Source organism: Homo sapiens, chromosome 2 (assembly GCF_000001405.40).
Source record: "Homo sapiens chromosome 2, GRCh38.p14 Primary Assembly".
Lineage (NCBI taxonomy): Eukaryota > Metazoa > Chordata > Mammalia > Primates > Hominidae > Homo > Homo sapiens.
Window position 1 is genome coordinate 89,859,175 of NC_000002.12, and position 16,348 is coordinate 89,875,522.

Below are 16,348 nucleotides of genomic sequence, written 5' to 3' on the forward strand. Positions count from 1 at the left end.
ATAAAAGGGACCCTAAGTAGTCTTTTCATACATATATATGCACATATATATGTATGAAAAGCAGTCTTTTCATCAACTAGAGAAACCCTCAGGACAGCCCTTAATACCCTTGGTGATACATTTCAGATGAGTAAACTGTTATCAGAGCCCGTAGTTGAAACTATTCAACAGAGATGGTTTGCCCAAAGATATGTGGTCAGCAATTGTCAGGGCTGAGCTTGGAACCCAGGTCTGCATAACCTTAAATATGTTGCTTCCACATGGCCACGTTTGTTTCATATACGATTGAATGGCCTTTAAATTCAAAGAAGAGACAAAGCCAGAAGAGTGGTGTGAAATTCTCAACACAAGCTCCCTGCTACCTCTACACCTTACCGTGATTACTCCAATTATAAACTCAGGCTCTCATGCAGTTTTGTCTACAAAGCAAAACTTCCTCAAAGTCTTTACAAATACTAAATGTCTTTCTTTCAGATTCGAGGGCAAGAGCACATCTTGCATTGCCCTGAACACTTTGCATCTTTTCTACCATTCTCATCTTTCTGTCCCAGTCCTTCCTTCTCAAATGATGTCCTGTAAATCTGATTTCTCCCCCAATATGAAAACAAATGAACAAATATTCCCCTACTTTTCTCATATCCAGAGGATACAAGAGTTAATCACATATCCAGAGAGTACGAGAGTTAATCAAGGGATTTATGCAAGAGTGTTTACACATAACAAGGATTCTGGTGCTAGCCATCTTCACAGTGAAATTTTCTGTGTGTCTTGCTAAAATTGACACTAAAAAATGACAAGATAAAAATATTTGGAAGAACAGAGGGCAACCATGCCCTTAAGGAGGTAAAAGACACCCCTGCCCCTTGTGTTAGTTTCCTACTCCTGCTGTAACAAGTTATCAGAATCTTACTAGTTTCATACAACACAAATTTATTATCATACAGTTCTGGCAGTGAGAAGTCTCACTGATTTATAATCAAGGTATCCGTAGTTCTATATTCCTTCTGGAAGTTCCAGGGGAGAGAATCTGATTCTCAGCTTTTCATCTTCAAAGATAGCCCCATGTTCCGGGCTGCCTGGCCCCTTTCTCCATCACTGAAGCATCCCTGTCCATTGTCCCTATTCCTCTCTGACTGTTACCCCCACTCCTCCCTATTATAAAGACCCTTCTGATGACGCTGTCTTTCCTAGATAATTCAGCTGTTTCCTAAATTTTCTGAATATCCCTATGCATGAAAAAAAAAGAATTGGCAAGTATTCAGACTATACTTTCCAAGAATGAGGGTTTGTCCACTGTTTTAGGTTGGATCTTTCAGGGACAATGATGCCCATGCAGGCAGCATATTTATAATGCACAGTAAACACTAGGAGGAAACAAGGCAGTGAGAGAGGAAAGAGAGCAGCGATACCGAAAATGTCCTCAGCGAGAAGCTACCACAGAGGATGAATGGAGATCAAGCCCACGTGGAAACATGGGAAAATGTCTCAGTATTTTTCCACCTAAGAAGGGAGGGAGATGGGGTATGTATACACCTCCCTGTCCTCACTGATTGAGGGCTTTCCGAGAGGATGCTCATTCCAGGTGCTGTGATAGGCCATGTGTACAGGCAGGGCTGCCTTCTCCAGCTTCAGATAGAGCAGTGAGGAAAAGATATGGCCATGGGGGGTCAGCAGAAGTACAGCAAAGGGAAAAGGGAAAGGGTAGCAAGAGTGACAACTATATTCACCCCCCCACACACACACACACACACACGAAATTGTGTATTGCAATCCAGAACTGCTTCTCTCTGAACCTAAATCTTAGCAAGCAGTTTACCAGTAACTGCCCTTGAAATTCAGGCCCCTGGAAAGGAGCAGGGGGTTGTGTACAGGCTATACCACAGCAGTCTGCCCACCCTTAGTGATGCATGAGTAATGCTCCCTGGACTCCCCAGGTTCTAGTCTTCTCATGTCGATGTAGTTGATTCCACTTCCCTTGCTGCACAACCAGGCTGGGATGCCTGGGCAGAGGCAGACATGTGAGGTATAGGGGTTCAAATCTGTTTCCAAGTTTTATCCAGCTTCAAAGCATTTCTCCGTGTACATGAGCGGTGGCTTGACAGGAGATGGAGACTCTCTTTCCTGGATGTGAGGCAAGGAGGCAGGCGTCTGAGTCAGGATGATGTCCCTACTCACTGCTAAAGAGAAAAGTGGCTTTGATGGTGCAGGGCAGGGAAATGCACTGAGTGGTCGCCACCCTCACAGAAGAGAAAGTGTTCACTGACCTGGCCTTTCCCCAGGGCCTCTCCCTCCCATTGCTTTCCAGAAAGCCATGATTTTTGAGAGCCACACCTGAACACTCACAAACATTATGGTGGGAAAAGCAGATCAGAGCATTAGGCAAGTTGCATTACCTTGGCCTTCTTCCTTTGGAGACAATTGATGTGGGGTTCTAGATTGACCCAGAGTTTCAAGTTCATCCTGATTCAGGCTTCAACAGCTGGAGGAAGAAACAGAGATGTTTTTTGAAGTAAACAGATCTAGCATTACTAATCAACCCTTCATACTGATGACCTATGGGAAATAATACCCAAGGGCAGAAAAATGGGCAGAATAAGGGGAGCCCCAAACCAAGACGAAGCTGCTGCCCATTGAGACCCTGGGTATTACAGAGACCTATAGCTCTGATAATGGAAGATCTATGAGTGGCACAGGCGCTGAGGAATCACAGCATCATTATCGTGCATCTGCAGGGAATTGCTTGTAAATATACTGGTAATTACAAATGTTTAAGGTCACTACAAATACTTTGGAGTGTATTAAATATGCTTCTGATAAAGACTGTTTTTCTCACATGAAACAATGGGAACCATGTGACAATCACAGAGGTGTTGTTACTATAGCAAAAGGGATTGTTACTCTCCACATCCCTTTAAGTAACTTGAAGGCCTGATAGACCCACCCTCTAAGACTTCATTAGACATTCCCTACGAATGGTTATACTCTCCTGTATACTCCCAATACAACTCTAAAATATATTATTCCATATAGTCCTTAGGTTTGTATTAAAGTTTGACTTTTTTCCTTCAAAATATCTCTTGTCACAACAGCGGCTCTAGAGAGAAATACATTCCCTCCAGGCAAATCTATGCTGCGCTGGTCTGACCTGGGACCCTGGGGACATTGCCCCTGTGCTGAGTTACTAAGATGAGCCAGCCCTGCAGCTGTGCTCAGCCTGCCCCATGCCCTGCTGATTGATTTGCATGTTCCAGAGCACAGCCTCCTGCCCTGAAGACTTTTTTATGGGCTGGTCGCACCCTGTGCAGGAGTCAGTCTCAGTCAGGACACAGCATGGACATGAGGGTCCCCGCTCAGCTCCTGGGGCTCCTGCTACTCTGGCTCCGAGGTAAGGATGGAGAACACTAGGAATTTACTCAGCCAGTGTGCTCAGTACTGACTGGAACTTCAGGGAAGTTCTCTGATAACATGATTAATAGTAAGAATATTTGTTTTTATGTTTCCAATCTCAGGTGCCAGATGTGACATCCAGATGACCCAGTCTCCATCCTCCCTGTCTGCATCTGTAGGAGACAGAGTCACCATCACTTGCCGGGCAAGTCAGAGCATTAGCAGCTATTTAAATTGGTATCAGCAGAAACCAGGGAAAGCCCCTAAGCTCCTGATCTATGCTGCATCCAGTTTGCAAAGTGGGGTCCCATCAAGGTTCAGTGGCAGTGGATCTGGGACAGATTTCACTCTCACCATCAGCAGTCTGCAACCTGAAGATTTTGCAACTTACTACTGTCAACAGAGTTACAGTACCCCTCCCACAGTGTTACAAGTCATAACATAAACCTCCAAGGAAGCAGATGTGTGAGGACGAGCCACCCCAGATGCTCCTCCTGGTGCCTCCATCTGCTGAGAGCATTTCTCAAACTCAGTCAGGTTTTGAAAGTCATTGGGAGACTTTTGTAGAGGGGACCAGGGAGGCTCCTCTGAACTCTAAGCCTCTTTTGCCCCTATCCCCAGGAGAAAAGATGTGACAATGCCTGTCCTGATTGAATAAGGAAGAGATACAAGTCCACCTGAGGAGTCTGTGTTATGGGATAATTGGAATTTACACAGCAAAAGAGAAGCTATTCTCGGTATTTCAAGGAGAAATTGTTCAAGTTGAATAAATTAGAGTCTAAACTAGTCTTTTTGAAGCCTACGGTATGTTATTCGTGAAGCAGCCACTAGAGACAGGGGATTCTCAGGTGCTCCTGCAGAAGTCAGAGTGCACCTGCCCCTGGTGGTATGTGCTGAGTACCGTGTGATGATCCTCAGACCTGTCTGGGAAGCCGAGGGCTGGGGTGCTGATGCTCTCAGCTGCCTGCAGCACGTCTCCAGGTGATTCTCCAGTCCACAAACAATTCCACATGTTTTACTTCAGATGTCAGAGTACATGAATCCACCACTCTGACTTCCCAATCTCATGGGAGTGCCTCTCATTAAGCAACTCTAAAGAAACCATAGAGAGAAAAGGAGTTTTGGAAAATGTGCGTCCAGAAGTGATAGTAGCGATGGGGAATTGACAGCTGACAGGTCAGTAAGGTTGCTCTTTCCACAAGGCTCAAAACTTTGCCAGTTACAGATTGTCCCAGAATATACTCGAATGTGCTATCACGTCTTACGAGCAACTCTGGGTTCATAGCAAGAAAACTTCATTAAGTCATAGATGAAACAGAAAAATCAGGAAACTGTATGAAATACATTATAAGGCTGTGTGTGGTAGCTCATGCCTGTAATTCCCAGCACTTTGAGAGGCTAAGGCAGGAGAATTGCTTCATCCTAGGAGTTTGAGATTGGACTGGGCAACATAGGAAGACTCTGTCTCTACAAAAAACAAAACAAAACAAAAAGATAAATAGATAGTTATAACAATCGTTTGACAACCTTTTTCCTTGACAAAAAGGAAAACAAGAGAAAATCCTAAACATGGATGTAGCATTTTTCCTCTTAATATGAAAGTCCTCTGCTACTCAAAACTATCCAGAATCCAGTAGCACCTTAGCAATACTGAGAGGGTGCCTTGCAAGATACATAGCAGGCCCACCTCAAATTACCTGAAAGAGAATCTTCATTTTAACACGGTAACAAGTGATCTACATAAAGCTTAACAAGGTATGTTTTAGGTGATATTTTAGCTAAAGAGATTTATTTTTTTCTCAATGAGGATATTTAAGAAAATTTCAATGGAGAGTCACATGTTGAAAGCACACCCAGCTTTACTTTCAAATTGATGCAACATTGCATTTGAAAACATTTTGAAGATTACAAAGGTTGAAAATCATAATTATATATGTCCATAGAATTATCAAATAACTTCATGTTTAAATGGAGTAAACATTTTTAGAAACTTTAATAATTACCAAGTGAAAGAATCAATTAAAGTTGTGTGTACCTATGTTAGAGATTCTCGGGCTTAATTGTATCAGGTCAGCTTGGTTTGGGATTTGTCTACTCCTGCGACCTGCCATGAGAATCTTCTGCCCTGAGTAGTCAGTGTCCTTCAGGCTTGGCCTCAGATAAATGCAATCCATAGGCTGGAGACAAGCTCGATTCCCTGCAGCCGAACCAACCAGCTGAGCCCTGCCTTGGGATCAGCCAACTGATTATTAAAATGAACATTCAGGAATATGAAAATAAATACTTAGTGTTAATAAGACACTAAGAGTTTAAGTGGTTGATTGTCAATAATTATTGTGCAAAAACTGACCAATACAGTATTTATACATCTACCTATTTAGATAGATGCATTTTATTAAAATTGATGGCATAAATATGAATATTTATTAATCCATATATAGAGATACTAAGACAACATTTAAAACATTAAAACTTAATACCAATAAAAACCATGAAATTGATGTCATTTGGGGAAAATACATATTTGAGTGTATATAACATACATATTGGTGCATTTATATTTTTGAAAAATTATTGGTTGCATATACGTATATGTACACATATTTATCTTTAAATAAGTCTATTTAAGTATATTTATATATCCATATAGAAGTAACACATGCATATTTACAAAACAATTATATAAAAATGAAATCTGTGAAGGTGATTTCAGTTTCCCCCCATAAGAACACTGGTGCCCGAGACCTGGTGTAGTATCTGCTGTGGCTACAGAAAGTTCCTTTATAACCTTTAGTTATAAAATACTCACCTAATGGGTATTTACACCTTAAAATATTTTTCTAACTCAAGTGGAGGGGTAAAGGGTATGAATGGGGATAACTGCCTACTGTTAAAAATTAATCATTTCATCCTATGGAAGTCCAATCATGCATATGCTGCCAATGATGCCATGCTGGATGGAGTTCTCATAACTGGGTGCTGTATTGATGTCATACCACTGCCATGGTAAAGGATACCCTGGGAGACTAGCAGTCACAAGAGTGGGCAAACCCGAAGGGTGAAGTCACCGTACACTTTGCAAAGAGGGATTAGCAATTCCATAACATTGGCTATTGGTTTGGAGAGATCACCAGGCCTCAGAAGAAACAAAACTGAAGGACTCGAGACAAAGTTGGTTTGGAAGAGCTGTGACTGGATCTTTGAAAATACGTCAAGATCAAAAATAAATGCTTCCTAAGTGAATATTCATATCTATTCCATTACTGAGGACCAGCTCTTAGTAATTAAGACGATCGAATGCTTGGCCTTCAGTCAGTCAACTTTCCCAGATTTTTTAGGAAGTGACATGAACCATAGAAATCCATGCAGGAGCTCAACAATATGAATTTCAGTTAATGAGGCTTGCATACCTATGGCTCTTCTGAGCATTCAACTTGCCAAGTAGCATTACCCCTCCCAAACCACTAACATCTAACCACACATCAGTGATCAGACTAACAACGCGTGTCAAATGAGTACAGTGCACCTAACCCAGCATCCAGAGGACAGTGGTAGTTTTCCTGTATATGGATTTGCCTTTCTTGTCAGTCATGTTTCTGCCAGAATCATCACTTGGAAGTATCTATAGCAAAAAAAAAAAAAAAAAAGTGAAGCAACGTATATTCACGATGTTGTCATGTGTCCAGGGGCAGCTGTCCTTATAGAAAAGAGAAAATCCATTAGTAGTCAGGAAAAGCCAAAACACTAACCCTTGTAATGTCAAATCACTGTCTTACCAGATGTGCTGGAGGCCCTGAAACACTGATGTGTATGACGTTGTTACCCCCATTAACAGAATAGGAGAATCTGAGAGATGACTATTTATTATGGGTACAGAGAAGATTGAAATGTTGTTTCTATTCACTCTTGTCTGGTTTTCCAGTTGATAGTTCTTAATTCAAAGAATTAGCATGATAATTGTTGCATTAAATTGAAAAAAATGATGAACATGTGGCCATTTAGTTCTTATTATGGTTCAGGACAAACTTTGAACAAAGGGTCCTATGGTGTGGGCTGGGGACATACAACCTGATAATCAAGGAGAAATAGGTTTCCTTCTACATATTTTAGAGAGGAAGTAGAGAAAATGTGGAAGCTAGAAGAATTTCAAGATTGTTTTTATTTACTGACATTTCCTCTGGTAAAAATTTCTCTTAACTTCAACAGACTTCAGAATGAAGCTTTGAGTAACACGCAGCTGAAGCATCACATGCACTTGGATGCTAGTGCAGCAGAGGGGAGATGAAACACACAGTGAGCTTAGGAGATGAGAACAGCAAAGGCAGCCTCTTGGTCAGCTTGAGTTGAGAAGCACAAGAAACAGTCCATTCATTCCTTCTACTTGTTCTATCATTGAATCAGGTGACTATGAGAGAAGCCACTGTGCCTGGTGAGGCAAAATTGTGTTTATTTTGATGCATTAGGTGACTTAAAACCAGATGGAAAAAGCAGAGGAGTGAGTGCAGGCAGCTCCCAGCACTGATTTCACTCCTCCCTGATCAAGATATCACTCATCCTTGTCTCCATGATCAAGAAAATTCCAAGGCCAGGCGCGGTGGCTCACGCCTGTAATCCCATCACTTTGGGAGGCCAAGGCAGGCAGATTGCCTGAGGTCAGGAGTTCGAGACTAGCCTGGCCAATATGGTGAAACCCCGTCTCTACTAAAAATACAAAAATTAGAAAAGCATGCTAGCACACGCCAGTAATCCCAGCTACTCCGGAGGCTGAGCCAGGAGAATCACTTGAACCAGGGAGGCAGAGGTTGCAGTGAGCCAAGATCATACCACTACATTCCAGCCTGGGTCACAGAGCAAGACTCCTTCTCAAAAAACAGAAAGAAAGAAAAAGAAAAGTCCTCCTATTGTGACAGGAAGATGGTGAGGCAGGAGGCTGTGCCCACAGGACGGTGCTGTCTGATCAAGTTTCTTGATCCTGTGTGAATTTGCTTAGGATAATGGCCTCCAGCTGCATTCACGTAGCTCTAAAGGACCATTATTTCATTTTTAATTGCTGTGTAGTATTTCATGGTGTATATGCACCACATGTTCTTAATCCAGCCTACCTTTGATAGTCATTTAGGTTGATTTCATGTCTTTTCTATTGTGAACAGTGCTGCCATGAACGTATGTGTGCACATGTCTGTATAGTAGAACGATTTATATTCCTTTGGGTATAGATGTAATAATGTGATTGCTGGGTCGAATGGTACTTCTGTTTTAAGTTCTTTGAGAAGTCGTTATACTGCTTTCCACAACTGCTGAACTAATTTACATTCCCACCAGCAGTGTATGAGCATTCCCTTTTCTCTGCAACCTCACCAGCATCTGTCATTTTTTGCCTTTATAGTAATAGCCATCCTGACTGGCATGAGATAGTATCTCATTGTGGTTTGATTTGCATTTCCATGATGATTAGTGATGATGACCATTTTTTTATGTTTGTTGGCTGCTTGTATGTTTTCTTTTGATTAACTTCTTTTAGGTTTCCTTCTACCTATTTTAGAGAGGAAGTAGAGAAAATGTGGAAGCTAGAAGAATTTCAGGATTGTTTTTATTTACTGACGTTTCCTCTGGTAAAAGTTTCTCTTAACTTCAACAGACTTCAGAATGAAGCTTTGCGTAACGCAGCTGAAGCATCACATGCACTTGGATGTTAGTGCAGCAGAGGGGAGATGAAACACACGGTGAGCTTAGGAGATGAGAACACCAAAGAGTTGAGAAGCACAGGAAACAATCCATTCATTCCTTCTACTTGTTCTATCATTGAATCAGTTGACTATGAGAGAAGCCATTGTGCCTGGTGAGGCAAAATTGTATTTATTTTGATGGATTAGGTGACTTAAAACCAGATGGAAAAAGCAGAGGAGTGACCTCAGGCAGCTCCCAGCACTCATTTCACTGCTCCCTGATACGTGTCTGTTTCATGGCCTTTGCCCATTTTATAATGGAGTTGTTTCTTGTTGTTGATTTTTTTAAAATTTTTTGTAGATTCTGGATCTTAGACCTTTGTCAGATGCATAGCTTGTGAATATGTTCTCCCAGTTTGTAGGCTGTCTGTTTACTCTGTTGTTAGTGTCTCTTGCTGTAATGAAGTTGTGTAGTTTAATTAGATAGCACTTATCAATTTTTGTTTTTATTGCAATTGCTTTTGGAGTCTATGTCATGAATTCTTTGCCTGAGCAAATGTCAAGAATGGCATTTCCTAGATTTTTATTAGAGTTTTTAGAGTTTAGATTTTATATTTAAGCCTTTAATCCATCTTGAGTTGGTTTTTCTATATAGTGAAAGGTTTCCATTTCAGTGCATATAGGTACCAGTTATCCCAGCAGCATTTATTGAATAAGGGGGTCCTTTCTTCATTGCTTGTTTTAGTCAGCTTTGTCGAAGATCAGATGGTTGTAGGTGTGCGGTTTTACTTCTGAATCCTCTAGCCTGTTCAATTGGTCTAGGGTTCCTGTTTTTGTAGCAGTACTCTTCTGATTTAGTTACTGTAGCCTTGTAGTATATCTTGAAGTCGTGTAGTGTGATACCTCCAGCTTTGCTCTTTTTGCTTAGGATTTTTTTTTTTTTTTTAGCTCTAGTTTAGTTCCAAGTAAATTTTAGAATTTTTTTTCTAATTCTGTGAAAAATGTTATTGGTAGTTTCACAGGAATAGCATTGAATCTATAAATAGCATTAGGCAGTATGACCAGCTCAAAAGTATTGATTCTATCCACGCAGGTGGAATGTTTTTCCGTTTGTTTGTGTCATTTCTGATTTCTTTCAGCAGTATTTTGTCGTTCGTGTTGTAGAGATCTTTCACCTCTTTGGTAAGCTGTATTTCTAGGTATTTTATCCTTTTTATGCTTACTGTGAATGGGATTGGGCTCTGGGACTGGCTCTTGGTGTGAATGGTATTGGTATATAGAAATGCTACTGATTTGCGTAAATTGATTTTGTTTCCTGAAATATTGCTGAAATTATTTATGAGATCTAGAAGCTTTTGGGCAGAGAGTGTGGGGTTTTCTGAGTATATTATAGTATCGCCTGCAAAGAGAGATAGTTTGACTTATTCTCTTCCTATTTGGATGCCTTTTATTTTTCTCTCTTGCCTGATTGCTCTGGCTAGAAATTCCAGTACTATGTTGAATAGGAGTGGTGAGAGTGGGTATCCTTGTCTTGTTCTGGTTCTCAACGAAAATGCCTCCAGCATTTGTCAATTCTGTGGGATGCTGGCTGTAATTTTGCCATAAATGGCTGTTAATATTTTAAGTTGTGTAGTTTCATTGTCTAGATTTTTGAGGGTTTTTAGCATGAAGGGGCATTGAATTCTATCAAAAGGCTTTTCTGCATCTAATGAGATGATCCTGTAGTTTTTGTATTTAGTTCTGTTTATGAGGTGAATCTCATGTATTGATTTTTACATTTTGAACCAACCATGCATCCCTTGACTAAAGCCAGCTTAATTATGGTGGATTAGCTTTTGATGTGCTACACAATAATGTTTGCTAGTATTTTTTTCAGAAAGTTTGTGTTTATGTTCATGAGAGATAGCGATCTGAAGTTTTTATTTATTGTGCCTCTGTCAGTTTTTACTATCAGGGAGATGCGGGTTTCATAGAATGAGTTAGAGAGGAGATCTCCCACCTTGATTTTTTTGGAATAATTTCACTAGGATTGGTACTAGCTTTTTTTATATGTCTGGTAGTATTTGGTTGTAAATCCATTTTTTCCAGGACTTTTTCTGATAGGTGGGCTTTTTACTACTGATTCAATTTCAGAACTCATTATTGGTCTGTTTAGGCATTCAGCTTCTTCCTGCGAGATTCTTGGTAGATTGTTTCCAGCAATTTATGCACTTTTTTCTAGGTTTTCTAGTTTTTGTGCATAGAGGTGTTGGTTATAGGTTCCAAGGGTTTTTCGTTTGTTTGTTTGTTTTATTGCTGAGGGTTGAGTGATAATGTCCTGTTTGTCACTTCTGGTTGTTTTTCTTTGGATATTGCTTTTTTCTTTATTAGTCTAGCTTGCAGTCTATCAATCTTATTTCTTCTTTCAAAGACCTAACTTTTGATTTCACTGACCTTTTGTTTGGTTTTTCTCCTCTCTATTTCATTCAGGTCAGGTTTGATTTTGATTATTTCTTCTTCTACCTTTGGGGTTGGTTCACATTTGTTTTTCAGATTTCTCTAGGTATGACGTTAGGTTGTTAATTCAGGATTTTTCTAACTTTTTGTTGTGCACATTTAGCGCTATAAACTTTCCTCAGAACACTGCTTTTGCTGTGTCCCAGAGATTGTGGTATGTTGTCTCTTTTTTTTTCATTAGTTTCAAAGAATTTCTTAATTCTTACCTTAATTTCATTGTTTACCCAAAAGTCTGTAAGCAGCAGATTGTTAAATTTCTACTTAATTTTATGGTTTTTGAAAGATCTTTTTGGTGTTGATTTTTACTTTTTTTGCACTTCAGCCTGAGAGTGTGGTTGGTATGATTCCATTTCATTTTATCATTTTTATTTTTTGTATTTGTTGACACTTGCAGTATGGCTGAGAGTGTAGTCAATTTTAGAGTTTTTGCAACGTGTAGATGGGAAGAATGTATATTCTGTAATTTTTAGTGGTTGTTCTGTAGATGTCAGTTTGTTCCATTTTGTAAAGTGTCATGTTTAGGTTCTGAATATGTTTGTTACTATTCTGCCTAAATCATCTGTCGAATACTGTCAGTGTGGGTTGAAGTCTCACTCTATGATTGTGTGGTTATCTAGGTGTTTTTGTAAGTCTCTAAGAACTTATTTCACAAATCAGGGTGCTCCACTGCTGTGTGCTTATATAATATATTTAGGATAGTGAAGTCTTCTTGTTAAATTTAACTCTTCATTATTATGTAATGCTCTTCTCAGTCCTTTCTGATTATCGTTAGTTTTGTTTTGTTTTGTTTTGTTTTTTGAGACAGAGTCTCTCTCTGTCTCCCAGGTTGCAGTGCAGTGGCGCGATCTCGGCTCACTGCAAGCTCCGCCCCCCGGGTTCACGCTATTCTCCTGCCTCAGCCTCCCAAGTAGCTGGGACTACAGGCGCCCGCCACCACGCTCGGCTATTTTTTTTGTATTTTTAATAGAGACAAGGTTTCATCGTGTTAGCCAGAATGGTCTCGATTTCCTGACCTCGTGATCTACCCGCTTTGGCCTCCCAAAGTCCTGGGATTACAGGTGTGAGCCACCGCGCCCAGCCATGATCATTGTTAGTTTTAAGTCTGTTGTATCTGAAATAAGAATAGCAACCCCTGCTCTTTTTTGCCTTCCATTTGTTTGATAGATCTTTCTTTCTCCCTTTACTTTGAGCCTATGTGTAATCATTAGAAACCACCTGAAAGAACAATGACCAGTGCCTTGAATAATATCTTTTAATAAAGGGTCTCTTGTACCTAGTAAATACTAAGCTTATTTATTTATTTATTTATTTATTTATTTATTTATTTATTTTGTTGCCCAGTTTCGCTCTTGTTGCCCAGGATGGAGCGCAATGGTGCGATCTCGGCTCACCAAAACCTCCGCCTCCCAGATTCAAGTGATTCTCCTGCCTCAGCCTCCCAAGTAGCTGGGATTACAGGCATAAGCCCCCAACCCCCAGGTGATTTTATGTATTTTTAGTAGAGATGGGGTTTTTCCATGTTGGTCAGTCTGAACTCCCGACCTCGGGTGATCCGCCTGCCGCGGACCAAGAAGTGCTGGGATTACAGGCGTGAGCCACCACAACCGGCCTAAGCTCATTTTTAAAAACGTATTTTTTATGATGTGAATAAAAAATCTTTTAAAAGATAAATGATAAATCCATATCATAAGGGAAATCGTGATACTTGCTCATAATATTTGTACATAACTTTGTACTTCATCTCCTGCAGGTCTAGTCAGACCCTCCTGCATAGCAATGGAAACACCTATTTGTATTGGTAACTATAGAAGCCAGGCGAGTCTCCACAGCTCCTGATCTATGGGGTTTCCAATGGGGCCTCTGGAGTCCCAGACAGGTTCAATAGCAGTGGGTCAGGCACATATTTTAAACTCAAAATTAGCAGGGTGGAGGCTGAGGATATTCGACTTTATTAATACATGCAAGCTACATAATATCCTTGCACAGTGGTAACGCCTTGAACACAAACCTCCTTGCTGGGGTGTCCCAACTGCCCACATGAGCTGCTGTCTGGGAGCAGCTCTGCAGGGTCTCTGAGTCTGCGGAAGAGGAGGCTGTTGGGGAACTCAGGGAAAGGGTTTGCTGCTGAAGACTCTGGCTCATGAGAGCCTCAGCTGTGCCTCAGTCACATATGTTAAGGTCCCATCAGCTGCCATGGCCTGGGGAAGACATCATCAGGAGGAGAATTCTTGGGGGCCATGAGCCTTGGGAACAACCAGCTATGATGAAGGGAGAGTGAATGAAAGCTCATCCCTCCCTATCTTGCCTACATTTTTCAAGGACATTTACTTGTCAAAACAACCAGACCGTGGATGCAGATTAGTGACAACACAAGTGGAATACGTGTTGGAAATGACCAGCTTGGGGTTTATTTTATACAAGATGATACTTGGTCCTATTGAGAAATCATTTTTTTCATTTCATTCTCCCAACCTTGTATCTTTTTTAGCACTCGTACACTAAACTGCCCTCTCCAGTGTCATGCTGGAGAAGGTATTCTACACAAGCTGTCCTCAGGGGAGTGTGGCAAAAAATAATTAGTAAAAATGTTTAGGTTTGACTATTCATAGACTTGGTAAACACATGGCAAATAAAAGATCTCAATGCCAAAATACTTCAATTCTCCTCAATTACCTTCATCCCAGTGAAAGTTCTTCCAGTTACAAAAGTGAGCTTTGAAAATAAACAGAATGAACTCACAGATGGACAACATAGACTCACTAAATATGTCACATGAATAATGCAGAATTACATAATATTTTTTCTTCTTACCCCAGTTTTAAGAATTTAAAAAGCATTTAACCTAAGTACTGTTTTAGAGGTGACAAATTTAGTGGTGTGTCCCCATGAGAAAATATTTCAAACATTACCAAAATTCCTTGTTTACATATTACATCATCGTTCCTAGAAAATATATCTAAATCCTCTATTTTAGGTATAAAAGCAAAAAAAAGTAAGGTTTCAGTTGATTTCACTTAAAATGGTATTTTAAATTTCCATCAAACTTAATGATGAGTCATGTCAGTTACATGACAGAACATGGTGTGATAGAGACAAAAGAATGATTGAAGGAACAGAACAAGAAGCTTCTGCTTCAGCCTTAGGATTTGAAGTATATTGGAGATTATTTTCCATTCTGTGATAATGGATTCAATGGCCACTGCAACTAAAATTCCAAAGTGCCATTTCTATTAGGTTTCATAGATATAGGGCAAAATTTATGTAGAAATCAAGCAGACTGGAGCCCTCAAATTAAAAAACATTAGACACTTTTAAATATGCTATTTAAAAATCCTAATAAATACATCGTGGAGTGTAAATGATTTTACAGAATGCTATTTCAGAGAAACAAAGCGTAAGTAGCAAGAGCAGGAGCTGAGAAATGCCATCATCGTCTTTAGTACTCACGTGATTGACAGCACCTAGTCGCTGTAGATTCTGCTTTGATGTGAGACAGGGATAAGGTCTAAACTCACTCAAGATGTTTAGATGTATTTAACAAGGAAACAAACATACAGCCTACATGATTTTGATATCCCAAGGGCTATACTCTCAAATCAAAATGCTAAAAAAATGATATCAAAGACAGAAAGGGGATTCAAGAAGAACCAGAGGATAATCAAATTTATTACAAAGAAGCCTCAAAAGCTCAGAGCACAGCCTACCTCCTTCCTCACAGCCTCTGCCCCCATTCCCATTCCTCAGCAGCATGGGGTGGAGCGGAGAGGAGAGAAAGCTGTTACCCCTAGAGAGCCTCTCTTTTCTTCTAAAGACCTAAGAAAATTCCAGCTTTCCACCAGGGATAAATGTTCTTTTGCCTCAAGGATTCATTTGTGCAATTTTTTACTGTGTGAATCTCCTGATAAACTTGCATTTTTGTTCGTTTTAATTTGAATATATATTTACACAATATTTGGAAATAATTTTTGAACATATAATCATATTGTGGCAGCCTATAGAAGTTGTCATTTACTGTTGGTAATTGTTGCTAAAAAGTCATCTGCAAATGAAAGACTTTCATCTGTGACTAACACACCTCCTCTGAAAGGAATCTGGCTTTTTCGTCTCTTCAGGCTCTTTTTAAGCTCTTCAATTGGCCTTTGGCTTTTTCAACATGTAATTTATTCAGTTTAATTTATTATTTATGCAAAATTAATGAATTAGTTTTCCCTATTACAAAATAAAAAATCGTGTGTATTGCTATGTCAAACACCTGCCCCTAGATGGCAAACAAATTCCACAGTACAAAAAGAGAATGCCATGAACTAAGAAATACTGGGAATGTAAGGATGATGGTGTCTCACTGTCAACAGGGAGCCCTTTGGCTGGAACAGGGTCTCATGTGTGACCTGGAGCACCTGGGAGGAGCTGCCAGGGCTAAATGGTGGGGAAAATCTGCTCTGTGCTCTGTGCGCTGAGACTGGAAGCTGGGCCCTGACCCCCAGTGTAGCTGCGAGAGATGATCGAGGTAGATGGGGTTAAAGGAGGTCCTAAGCATGAGATCCCTTGCAATAGAATTAGTGCTCTTATCCGAATAGCAACCAGAGCTCTCCTCTTCCTTTCCTCCCTGTCTCTCCCTCTCTCTTCCCAACCCCCATCCCTTTTTCTCCATGGCTGTCTATGAACCAGGAAGAAAGTTCTTAACAGAATGTGTACCTGGTTGGACCTTGATCTTAGACTTCCAGCCACCAGAAATGTGAATATAAATTTCTATTGCTTAAGCCATCCAGGCTTTGGGATTTTGGCGTGGCAGTGCCAGC

The 16,348-nt window shown here is 40.3% G+C and overlaps 1 pseudogene, 1 gene segment (V, D, J or C) and 1 further gene, besides 2 other annotated features; all 3 read left to right on the forward strand.

Annotated features, from left to right (window-relative positions):
* Positions 1-16,348, forward strand: part of IGK (immunoglobulin kappa locus) — a 1,378,008-nt gene that overhangs the window by 1,001,814 nt on the left and 359,846 nt on the right.
* Positions 3,331-3,385: a sequence feature (IGKV1D-39 leader sequence).
* IGKV1D-39 (immunoglobulin kappa variable 1D-39) lies at positions 3,331-3,805 on the forward strand. The segment is given in 2 exon segments: positions 3,331-3,385; positions 3,510-3,805. Coding segments are annotated over 2 exon segments (351 nt in total), but the record flags the coding sequence as incomplete, so codon positions are not given.
* Positions 3,510-3,520: a sequence feature (IGKV1D-39 leader sequence).
* IGKV2D-38 (immunoglobulin kappa variable 2D-38 (pseudogene)) lies at positions 13,289-13,528 on the forward strand (annotated as a pseudogene). Its single transcript is given in 1 exon segment — positions 13,289-13,528. A coding segment is annotated over 1 exon segment (240 nt).